We start from the raw sequence: 13,121 nt of genomic DNA, 5'->3' as shown, positions 1-13,121 counted from the left end.
CTTTTGCTACAATGTGTCCAAAGATAGATACTGTTCCCTGACAAACTTTCTCCTGCCAGGGGAATAATAGAGTTGAAGAGGTGTTGGGGGGTGTGGGGGCTTCTCTCTCCCCAGGAGAGCTCTGTATTTTCTCCCCTCTTTTTCTATGACCCTCGTCTGCACCAGCATCCTATAGTCTCCTGGGCCTCTCTCCCTCCCCCCCATCTTGCCCTCATATTTGATATCTGAGCAGGGGCTTTGGAATTGGATGGTTAAATACCTCTTAAACACAGCCACCAGGTACCTGGTTCCTTTTGATTATGAGGGTTGCTGGTTAGTCATTAAGTGTGGGAGGGGGTGCAGTATTAAGGAAGATGGGAGAAGCAGATGTGTTTGGAAACTAAAATTTTACCAATGACTTTGCTGAAGACTGTATCATTATTTTCCATTCCTTGAACTCCCCAAAATGAAAAACAATTTTTTCTTCTAGGCAATTGTTTTAAATCTCCGATGTTCTGAACTTCTTTTTTTTTTTTTTTTCGTCTCTCTCTCTTTTTAACCAGTGAGCTCTTGGGGAAGTTGGCTTGGATAACAACATCTCTCTAGCACCCCCTGGTCATCCACCTGGGACCCTGTGAGGAGGGTGTTCACTGGTAGTCCTGGGTGACATGATGTTTTGTTCTGGTCACTCATGCCAGGCTGTAGCCAACCTGCTTTTATTTATGGTTTGGAGGAGAACTTCTGAAATGCACCTCAGAAACTTACTGCCTGCCCCCAAATCCACTTATCCCTCCACGTCCACTTTCCCAGGGCTCTGAAATGCAGGTGATGAATCAGTTTCTCGTCAGAGATTAGGTTAATGCATATTATGTCACTTGTCGTCATTCAAGGGATTCTTTCATTTTTTGAATATGAAGAAATTGTTCTGGGCAGGGTTTTCAGGTGAAAGAAGGAAGAAACTGAACATGGACGACAAACTAGCAGGCAGCGTATCTCTTCTTTAACTTTCTTCTTTTTCCCTGCCTCCCTGTCCCTTTCTCCCTCTCTTCCTCCCTTCCCATTCCTCCTTCCCTTGGTCCTTTTCTTTTCCTTCCCCTCCCTCTTCCATCCTTCAAGGGCAAACTCTGTCTGGTTAGTGAGGAAGGATGGTTCAGATTGCACAAGTGCAGCAGTGGGTGTGGAAAGTCCAGGGAGGCCAGGCTGCTGGAGCAAGGCTGGAACAGAGTTGGGGTGGGGCTGGAGCAGAATTGGGGCAAGAGCGGAAGAGAGTTGGGATGTGCATCCAGATAGAAATAATAGGACGGGCCAGGCTCACGCCTGTAATCCCAGCACTTTAGGAGGCGTGAGGCAGGCGGATCAGGAGGTCAAGAGATTGAGACCATCCTGGCCAACATGGTAAAACCCCGTCTTTACTAAAAATACAAAAATTAGCTGGGTGTGGTGGTGGTTGCCTGTAGTCCCAGCTACTCAGGAGGCTGAGGCAGGAGAATCGCTTGAACTCAGGAGGTAGAGGTTGCAGTGAGCAGAGATCATGCCACTGCATTCCAGCCTGGGCCACAGACCAGGACTCCGTTTAAAAAAAAAAAAAAGTAATAAGACAGGGGTCCCAGGAGGCTATATAGTATGATATGCAGGATAATGAGAATGAGCTAAAATGCCTGAGAAAAAAATTGCTGATTCCTAGCTTTTATTCCTTAACTACAAAATATTGATATTTTTGTTTATATATTTGAAAATATTTAGACTATTTTTCAGTATAACAAATGGTTCTTTGACTTTGGTTCTTATTAAATAAATGCCATGCAATATTTTCCTTTTGTTCTTAAGCCATACCCAGTTTTGAAATAGAAATTTATCTTTGAAGGCATTTCAATACTTAATAGAAGCAAAAAAATAAACTTTGTGAGAAGTTTAAAACTTGTGAGAAATTTAGCGTTTAAGAGCATTTTCTCTATAATACAGCAAATCTGAACAACCAACTAAAATGCATAATTTTTTTTTAAGACAGGGTCTCATTCTGTCACCAGGCTTTAGTGCAGTGGTGCAATCTTGGCTCACTGCAATCTCACCTCCCAGGTTCAAGTGATTCTTGTGCCTCAGCCTCCCAGATAGCTAGAACTACGGGCGTGCACTACCGTGCCTGGCTAATTTTTGTATTTTTAGTAGAGACCGGGTTTCACCATGTTGGCCAGGCTGGTCTCGAACTTCTGATCTTAGGTGATCTGCCTGCCTCTGCCTCCCAAAGTGTTGGGATTTCAGGAGTGAGCCACTGCACCCACCCTAAAACACATAATGTCTTATTAGAATGGTGTAAAGATTGGCATTTGACTACTGGCCAGTCTTAATCTAATGACAAATGAAATCTGAATCTGGAAAATAGAATTGTATAAAATTCAGTGTCTGAACCAGACAGGGAAACTCACTGATTCTAGGACTGCAAGGGTCTTACCCACCACCCAATCCCTGTTGTATTGCTAAAGACATTACCGAACAAAAAAATTATGTAATTTTCTCAAGATCACAAACCTAGTGTGATTGTTGTTGTTGATGATGTCTTTCAGTATGAAGAATTTCTGTGTTCTTGTACATATGCCCTAGAAATATTAACTTTACTGTAAATTAGAAAATTTTTAAACTATGGCTTTTATATTGTTAATCCAGAGAAACCAAGTCCAACCCTGGGGACTTGTCCATGAATTTATCGAAAGAGTCTGGTCACAGAGCCCCAGTGGCTTCATCCTTTTATGCTCGTATCACCTTTCAGTAGGCAATGGCTGCAGAATTCCTTGGAGGAACTGTTTCTTACTCACAGAGGATGATAGGCCTTCAGGTTCTTCTCTCTGACCCTATTAAGATCCTTCTGACTATGGATGTTCCCAGGAATGATGTTTCCCAGGGTTGGCTGAAGGTCAGCTATCCTGATTAACAAACATGGCGTTATTATTTTTCACTAGTTAAAAAAAAATCATGTTTGTGTTTTCTCAGTTTAGAAAGATTTAAAATGAAGACAAAAACTATTTCCTTGCTCCTCCCTCTATATCAAGCTCACCCCAAAGAAATAACAATTGCAAACAATATTTTGTATATCCTTCCAAGAATTTTTATGAATGTATATAAGCCCCCAACATATATAAGTCCTTTGATAAACAGCAGTGAGATCAATCTCTATATATTTTTCTTCATCTTGTTATTTTTTCTTGATTAATTTTAGAAATTTAAAAATATCCATAATTGATGATTGGCCTGATTTAAAAGGTGGTTTTCTGAGTTAATTGTATGTGTGTATTTTATTTATTTATTTATTTATTTATTTATTTATTTATTTATTTATTTTGAGACAGAGTCTCACTCTGTCATCCAGGCTACAGTGCCATCTTGTGATCTTGGCTCACTGCAACCTCTGCCTCCCTGGTTCAATCTCTTCTCCTGCCTCAGCCTCCCTGAGTAGCTGGGATTACAGGCACGTGCCACCGCACCCAGCTAATTTTTGTATTTTTAGTAGAGACAGGGTTTTGCCATATTGGCCAGGCTGGTCTTGAACTCCTGACCTCAGGTGATCCACCCATTTTGGCCTCCCAAAGAACTGGGATTACAGGTGTGAGCCACTGTGCCCGGCCTATAATGTATTTATTAAGGGAGATCAAGGTGGTTTTGGTGGCTTCTGGTATTTTGCTATTGTAAAGTGTACTGCAATAAACATGCTGTATACAGTACTGCATTTTGTGAAAGTACATCTGTGCTAAAAATTCCTAGAAATGGGCCAGGTGTCATGGCTCATGCCTGTAATCCCAGCACTTTGGGTGGCCGAAGTGGGTGCATTACGAGGTCAGGAGATCGAGACCATCCTGGCCAACATGGTGAAACCCTGTCTCTACTAATAATACAAAAATTAGCTGGGTGTGGTGGAACGTGCCTGTAATCCCAGCTCCTCGGGAGGCTGAGGCAGGAGAATCGCTTGAACCAGGGAGTTGGAGGTTGAAGTGAGCCGAGTTGGTGCCACTGCACTCCAGCCTGGGCAACAAAAACGAACTCTGTTTAAAAAAAAAATTCCTAGAAATAGAATAAGTAGATCTAAAGATATATACATTTTAAATTTCCTTGGTGATAAATATCTAGTCAAGGAGCTTTTAGCCATTTAAATCTAATGACACAAAATGTTACAAAAAATCTAATGACACAAGTGACACAATCTGACTCCCTCAAATGTTACGTGAGAATGCTTCTTTCCCCAAAACTTGTTGAAAATAGGGATAATTAAATTTATTTTTCAAGTTTATGAAGGAAGAGAAATGTCTGTTTAATTGAAAAGCTAATTAATTACACAGTTACTTAATTTGGTATACATTTTTACATTAAGATGTTTCTTAAATCAAAGTCTTATTTCTCCTCTGAACTTAGAAGAGATGCTAATATTTTAATTTTTAAATTAACATAGCCTGTAGTCCCAGCTACTCGGGAGGCTGAGGCAGGAGAATGGCGTGAACCCAGGAGGCGGAGCTTGCAGTGAGCCGAGATCGTGCCACTGCAGTCCAGCCTGGGTGACAGAGTGAGACTCTGTCTCAGAAAAATAATAAAATAAAATAAAATAAAAAATATATTAACATATGGTAAAATTGACTTGATTTTTGTGTGCAGTTCTGTGAGCCTTTGCTCATATAGATTTTCATGACCACAAACATAGACAGGATGCTGAACAGTGTCCTGGTTTTCATCACCCCAAAAACCTGCCTGTGCTGTGCCTTTGTGGTGACATCACTGCCTTCCAACAACTCGCAACCACTGGTCTGTTTCATGCCAGTATAGTTTTCTTTTTTCAATATCATACAGGATGTAATTTTTGAGATCAGCTTTTACTCAGGATAATAACTCTGAGATTCACCCAAGTTGCTGTGTTTATCAATATATAATAGAAGAACACAATGGAAGTAGAAGCTAGTCTTTGAAAATATCAAGAAAATTGATGAATTTTTAGCAAAATGGAGGAGAGGAAAAAAAGAGGGAGAAGACACAAATTACCAATATCAGGAGCAAATGAAGGGACATTACTACAGATCCTGCAGAACAACTCTAGGCACAGAAATTTGATTGCTTAGATGAAATAGATCTCTTCCTCAAAAGCCATGACTTACCAAAACTCACCCAAAATAAAATATATAACTTGAGTAGTATTATAACTATTAAATAAATTAGGCTTGAGATTTTCCAGAAAAGAAATCTCCAGCACATTTGCTGTTCCTACTGTTGCAGCCAGCACTTCCTTTTCTATTCCTCAAGCCTTAATTAGGAATATCTTCTGGAGTATTCTCTTTAGGAGCTGATGCTCACTTCCAGATGTCTCCTGGGTTCTGTCCAGAGGATACTGGAGGGAAAATCGTGGTGAATTTACCACTAGTTTAGCGGGGTCCTTTGCATTCTCATCTTCTTTTCCCATCTGCTTGCTACTATTTACTTTTCAGAGTCCTTAAATAGTTGCTGCATGTATTCTGCCAGGTTTTATAGCTGCATTCAGGGAAAGAGATGGGGTGGGTTGCAATTAACCCACTCTACCTGGAATTAGAACCTTAAAATCAAACTTTTAATTATTGCTTTTCTATTAGGTGAAAATGCAGGTGGGCTTCATGATTGGGCAGTGCTGAGGGAATACCCTTCTCATTTCCCTATGCCATTGCCATGTCCATAGGTACAAATGTGGACTGAGATGTTGATCCATTTTTTGTTTCTTTAAGAGTACTCGGATAACAGATTGCCTTCAAACAAAGTGTTAACTGAATTGCATATTTTTGAATGTTTGGTTTTGCAGAGTCCTTGCTTTTCATGAAGGAATGTTGCTATGCAACATAACAGTGACTTCTCACTTATAATTTTTTTTTTGTTTTTTGAGACAGAGCTTCATTCTGTCAACCAGGCTGGAGTGCAGTGGCATGATCTTGGCTCACTGCAACCTCCGCCTCCTGAGTTCAAGCGATTCTTGTGCCTCAGCCTCCTGAATAGCTGGGATTACAGGCACATGCTACCACACCCTGCTATCACTTAGAGTTTTTAGCCTTGACTACATAACTGTGGAATGTGGCCCAATGTGTATACATGAAGTGGCACACATCAAGAGGACAGATGTTGTATGTTCTACAGGATTTTTGTAGCTGCTCAAATTATATTAGCATGAAAAAACTTTTAAAGTTACACACTATGACTCAGATGTGCAGAAATGCAATATTATTTTCCTATGACTGAATTCAACTTGCTTGTGATTTTCTTCTTTCTTTGAGAGCAAAGCATTTAATCTTGTCACTTCAGGGTAACTCAGGATCTGCTAGTTTATTTTTTGTTTTTGTTTTTTGAGACAGAGATTTGCTCTTGTTGCCCAGGCTGGAGTACAATGGCACAATCTCAGCTCACTGCAACCTCCGCCTCCTGGGTTCAAGCAATTCTCCTGCCTCAGCTTCCTGAGTAGCTGGGATTACAGGCACCTGCCACCATGCCTGGATAACTTTTTTGTATTTTTAGTAGAGATGGGGTTTCATCATGTTGGTCAGGCTAGCCTTGAACTTCTGAACTCAGGTGATCCTCCCACCTCAGCCTCCCAAAGTGCTGGGATTACAGGCGAGAGCCACAGCACCTGGCCTAGGATCTCCTAGTGTTGAATTTGATCACTTTCAGAAAATCGCTCAGTCAATACATAATTTAAATGTAATTGCTTGAAAACCCATACTCCATACTGTTTTTTTTTCTTCCATATGAAGAGCTTTTCCCTTTCTCTCCACCCCAGAATGGCATCATAAGGCCAGAGAAACTTAAGTACTGTCTCGGTAGTGAGGGTGACCTCTCTCTCATGTACATTCCTTGAGTCTTCCTTGGTGTGTCTCAGGTTGTTGGCATCTTTCCCCACTGCATCCTGTCTGGACGAAACTGGTCCCACCTGACCTTTGAGTGGGGTTGGTGTGTGCTGCTGAGGCCAGTGGTTCCTGCCATGGCCTTAGGATGCAAGTCTCTAGACACTGTCCTCTTGTGGCCTCCACTCCAAGTCTCTTTCTCATTGGCACTCAGCACATCTGTATTCACCTCTGGGACAGGCAGGAACTGCTCAGCCTCAGGGAAACTTGTGTACGCTATCTAAGGCTTCCTCTCTGCCTAAACACACCATGCCACCATTTCTTCAGTACAAAAATGTCAGTAAAATTTTCAGAGTTCCACACAGAAGAGTTTCCTGCAACTACCCTGGGGTTCCTTTTATCTTGCCCCCTACACCTCACTGTGTTCAGCCAAGCCGGTAGTGTTGAGGGATGCTGGATCCTTCTCAGAGATCCAAATGGTGTCCTAAACTGGCTTTTGTCCTCTGTAAATCTCTCCACTTGCCTTCCCTAGCCATGCCCTATGCACAACGAATGCCTTTTCTCTTTGGATACGAGATTAATATCCTAAAACAATAGCTGCCTTATACACAAGCACTAACTGTTTTTCAAATGTAATGGGGAAAAAGTACTATTATTTACAGTAACAATAACAAGTAAAAATAAATGTCTTATAAATAAATGTTAACAGATTCATGCAAGATCAGTAGGACGAAAATGTGAAATCCTACTGTAGCATTGTTGTAGAGTAGATAAAAAAGAGCTCAAAAAATGAAGACATCTCATATTTTGGTTAATATTCTTAATAAAGTCAGTTCTTTGGAAATTAATATATACATTCAATAATTCTCAAATTAAAAATTCAATGAGATTCTTTACGGCATTTAACAATGTTCTTAAGACTCATTTGCAAAAGAAACATGCTCGATGCTATCCAGTAAATATATAAAAAGACCACTGGTGGGTCCTTGTTCTGTTGAATAGTATACCAAGGCCTGTGAGCTATAGCAATTAAAGGAGACATAGTAAGAGACACATATAGTAATTAAGATATAGAGCCAGAAATGTGAAAATAATCAGTGGAACAGAAAAAAGCAGTTCCCATTCCCCACGCCAATCCATTATTTATAGAATATGGGCTATGGTAAAGATTGTATTTCATACATACAAGGGGCAGATAAATTTTTATTCAAGGCATTCTTTTAAGGCATGATTTTTGGATTGTTTTCTTTCCACTTGTTGGCGGATGGGAAAAAGGACATCGCTCACACAATTCACAGGATTAATTCTAGATGTACTCAAAAGCCAAATATGTTTAACAATTTATAAAAGTTTTAGGTAAAAATTTAAGAATATGTTTTATAATCATGGGGTAGCCCAGGGCTTCCTGAGGAAAATATAAAACCCAGAAACAATGAAGCAAAATCCTGACAAATTTGTGCAAAAGCTAAACTTTTGAACTAGAATGCTTTGTTTGTTTGCACAGAGTTGATTTTTTTTTTTTTTTGGAGATGGGGTCTTGCTCTGTCACCAGGCTGGCGTGCAGTGGTGTGATCTTGGCTCACTGCAACCTCCGCCTCCAGGGTTCAAGCAATTCTCCTGCCTCAGCCTCCTGAGTAGCTGGGACTACAGGCGCGTGTACTGTGCCCAGCTAATTTTTGTATTTTTAGAAGATACGGGGTTTTGCCATGTAGGCCAGGATGGTCTCGATCTCTTGACCTTGTGACGCCCCCGCCTCAGTCTCCCAGAGTGCTGGGATTACAGGCGTGAGCCACCGTGCCCAGCCAGAGTAGATTCTTAGTAAATATTTGTTGAATGAATGACTGTAAAGCAAATTAAAGCACAGGGAAAATAATGGGAAGAACATTTGCCAAACATATAACGAGTAGTAATATGCAGAATGTATTATGTTTGATGCTACAAACCAACAGATGAACGGCTCAATATAAAAATATGCAAAAGACTCAGAGAAGGAATAAAAATAAATGACCAAGAAGCTCACAAACAGATGCTCAATATCATTAGCTACAAAGGAAATGCAAATTAGAATAAGATATTTTTATTTACTATACTGAGAAAATTGTAATTATTGATAATATCCAGGTGATGAGGATGAGGATAACACTTCTGGTGAGAGTGTGTAAACTGATAAAGCCACTTTGGAGAGTAATCTGGTTATATCTTTCAAGATTAAAAATGCCTATGTCTCAGCCGGGCGCAGTGACTCACGCCTGTAATCCCAGTACTTTGGGAGGCCAAGGTGGGCGGATCACGAGGTCAGGAGATCGAGACCATCCTGGCTAACATGGTGAAACCCCGTCTCTACTAAAAATACAAAAAATTAGCCGGGCGAGGTGGCGGGCGCCTGTAGTCCCAGCTACTCAGGAGGCTGAGGCAGGAGAATGGCGTGAACCCCGGGGGGCGGAGCCTGCAGTGAGCCAAGATCGCGCCACTGCACTCCAGCCTGGGCGACAGCGAGACTCCGTCTCAAAAAAAAAAAAAAAAAAAAGCCTATGTCTCTTGGTCCAGCAAATCAATTTCTACAAATCTATCTAGAGCAAAATTTATTCACGCACAGGTATATATTATGCAAGGGTGTTTATTACAGCATTGCTTATAACACTGAGAAAGCAATAAAAAGGCCAGTAATTTTTGCAAGGATAAATTATGTGTGTATACATAGTCATTAGAAAAACAGGCAGACATGTATTATTGACATGGAAAGACTTATAGACATATTGTTGAGTTTAAAAATCAGATTAAAAGACCACGTAAATAATGATACTTTTATATAAAAATAGAATTTTTTCATGTGACTATATAGCGTGTAGAAGAAGAACTGGAAAGATGTATACTTAACTGTGGTTACCTCTGGGGAAGAGAGCATAATATAGGGACATGAGGCTTTCGCATTTTATTATATGTAGTTATGTTACACTCATATCTTTTACCATGAGAATATATTCTTATATGACTTGGTAATAAAAATAAAATAAGCAAAAGGAGAGAAATCTTTATGCAAAACAAGGAAGGAAGGGAGGAAGGAGGGAAGGAAGTAGAGAAGGAAGGAAGAAAGGAAGGAAGGAGGGAGGAAAGGAAGGAAGGAAGAAAGAAAGCAAGGAAGTAGGGAGGAAAGGAAGGAAGGAGGAAAGAAAGGGAGGAAGGAGGGAAGGAAGGAGGGAGGGAAGGAAGGAGGGAGGGAAGGAAGGAGGGAGGGAAGGAAGGAGGGAGGGAAGGAAGGAGGGAGGGAAGGAAGGAAAAAGGAAGGAAGGAGGGAAGGAAATAAGGAAGGAAGGAGAGAAGGAAGGAAGGAGAGAAGGAAGGAAGGAAGCAGGATGCATATGCATTAAGCATGTTCTATAGAAACAGACTGAGATGAAAGAAAGCTCACTTACTCTTCTAAACAAGCTCTCCACTTAATCCTGGCTGGTGCCTGTCTGAGGCCTGATTAGCACAGCAAGGTAGTTAAGATCCTATTCTTGCCCTATTTACCAGAGACTGTGCTGCTCCCAAGCACCCTGAAGGGGCAGGGGTGCTTGGAAATGGCTTCTGCATGCAAATCAGGGTAGGCAGGAACCCCCAGCCTCTGCATAACACATGCATACAACTCAGCCATAATAGCAGTACTGAGTCAAGTTGTTGCTGGCTGATGACAGTGGTGCTCAGAAGTTGTGATGGCACTCCCTGGAAACCTGGGATGGTGTGGAATTCCTGACTTTGATGGTGATAGTCTTGGTACTTCATGTTTATGTCTCATTCATTAGCTTTCCAACATCCCCCTTGGGGCTAATCTAACAAATAGCTCTCTTGCTAATGAATGATTTTTTGTCAATAGGAAATTGAGATTGAGATTGAGAGAGAGAGAGAGAGAGAGAGAGAGAGAGAGAACCAACAGCATCGATTTTGCTCTGGTGTAAAGCCACAGGTCTCATACTCATGAGGCCAGCTTGGATGATTGACTCTCAACTCTACTTGTTCTTCCAGTTTTCCCCTTGCTGAGTGTGTTAGTTTCTCTGGGCATCCATAATAAATTATCACATACTGGGTGGCTTAAAACAATAGAAATCTACTTGCTCACAGTTCTGGAGGCCAGAAGTCTGAAACCAAGTTGTCAGCAGGGCCATGCTCCCTCCGAAGGCTCTAGGGAAGAATGCTTCCTGCCTTTTCTGGCTTCTGCTGGTTTCCTGCAGTCCTTGGCCTTCCTTGGCTTGTAGCTGCCTCACTCCACACTCTGCCTCCATCTTCACATGGTGCCTCCCTATGTTTCTCTGTGCCCTGTGTCAAAGTCTCACTCTCCTTTCTCTTATAAAGATATCAGTCAATGGATTTAGGGACCACCCTAACCTAATATGAATGCATTGTAATTAATTAATCAATTACATCTACAAAGACCCTATTTCCAAATAGGGTTCCATTCTGAGGTTCTAGGTGGACATGGGTTTTTTAGATCTCCAGTACTCTCAGCATTTTTCTTTAGCCTCTTTCTTTAGCTTACTACCTCTAGCCCCCTTTGTGTATGTTGTTCTGTTTTGCTGACCTTGGTCACATGCTTTTGACAGTAAAGCTTTGCACAATTCATTTCTTCCAATCCCTGTTGTGGCTGTAACCCTGCCTCCAGAGTGAGGGGCAGCCTATGCTATCATCCTCATTCGTATAACCTACTTGTCTAATCATAATCTCCAGCACTGGGTTTGGAAAATTTCTTCACCTGTTCCATGGCTTTGTATAAAATGTTATGCATGTTATTGATTCATAATAAATGCTTTCTGACTAGGATTAAAATGCTCTTTTTACAGCACAGGTGGAAGTTCAAATGCTATTTTTTTACAAAAAAAAGCAAAACATACAACTGAACACAGCTCATTACATAAATCAAAAAGTACAAAGTCCCCAAGTACTATGGTTTAGTTTTGGATGCCTTTGTTCTTCCCAGTTTTCTTCTTCCAAAGCTTCTTTCCAAGAAGAGCAGCTATGATTTTTGTTTCAGCCATGGAGTGTCTCCAGCGTTGGACACCTGTTTGCTTACCTTGTTCTAGAGACAGCTCATTAGGTTGGGCCAGGTATCTGTTATTCTACCAAGTTCAACTGTTCATCAAAATTTTTATATTTGATCCTTCTCCCAGAAAGTTAATGCAATTTGAGCCTATAAATGGTTTCCATGTTGTGCTCTTTCTTTGTTTCCCAATATGGAAGGAGAGGACAGTAACAATAGTAATGACAAAAACCCTTAATTTTATAGCATGCAGTTCTAAATGATGTGCACACTTGACAAGCCATAGATTTCTAATTTTTAACTTTATGCTTATGCAATGGTTGGTGGCAACACTGACATCATTTTGATTGGGTGCAGTAGTGTGTGCAGGGGTTTCAGGGAGTACCTAGCACTCCTCGTGGGAAGCGGGGTAGTGTGACAGGGGTAGTGGAGGAAGCAGAAGGAATAGGAGCCTCTCCTGGGGGAAGTCCTTATATCTCTGGGGCAGTACTTTCAGGGGCTTTCTTCTTCCTTCAGGAATGCCCGCATTCTTTCTTAGGGGCCCACACGACTCAAAACTACACATGCTGGCAGCATGAGTGTCTGAATGATAACCATGATGGGCAGGAGGTTCCATGCTCGGTATGTGAGTACTAGAGGTGGTTCAAGTGTGGGCCAAGTGGGTAGGAAGGCTTTGTTCATGTCTCCCTTTGGTGGGAGAGCCTTTATAATGCCTGATTTTTGGATGCAACTTTATAGTATCAAATCTCAATACCAAGTTATGTAAGTAGTTGAATTTTTCTGTTACAGTTGTTATTTCTACATATTGATTTACACCTATCAACATGACTCCAAGGGTCTGGCTAGTTATACAACATCAGCAGCAAACAGGTTCCTGGGTCTCTTGCCTTCAGTTTCATGTGTTCTTGCTAACCTTTTGGCTAAAATGTTTAGGTCATTGTACCCTCGGCTCAGGCAGCAAAGCTGTCCTTTAGATGCCAGGGCTGCCAAATATCTCTTCATATACACACCTGTCTCATGCCCACTTCTTCCTCACTCCTCCCTGAGAGATGACAGTGCCCCCTCACTCTTTCAACCCAGGTAAAAGGCAAGGTAACATTGAAGGACTTGACTTTAGCCATGTTGGTTTCTTCCCTGCACTTTAGAGTAACAATAATTCCTATGCATTCAGTCCACAGGTCTCAGCAGGCTGCGAAGTGCTTTGCAGTCATGAACTCATGTCATCCTCATTGTGGTCTCTACGCAGTCATGAACTCATGTCATCCTCATTGTGGTCTCTACGACGGGTCGCAGGCCACACC

General features: G+C 41.3%; 1 protein-coding gene across 9 annotated transcripts in view; it reads left to right on the top strand.

Annotated features, from left to right (window-relative positions):
• FRMD3 (FERM domain containing 3) overlaps positions 1–13,121 on the top strand; it is a 342,803-nt gene that overhangs the window by 212,905 nt on the left and 116,777 nt on the right. The window lies entirely within an intron of this gene.

The sequence above is a fragment of the Homo sapiens genome, chromosome 9, assembly GCF_000001405.40.
Source record: "Homo sapiens chromosome 9, GRCh38.p14 Primary Assembly".
Classification (NCBI taxonomy): Eukaryota; Metazoa; Chordata; class Mammalia; order Primates; family Hominidae; genus Homo; species Homo sapiens.
Note: the sequence above shows the minus strand (reverse complement) of the source record. Positions and strands in the feature narration are given on the sequence as shown.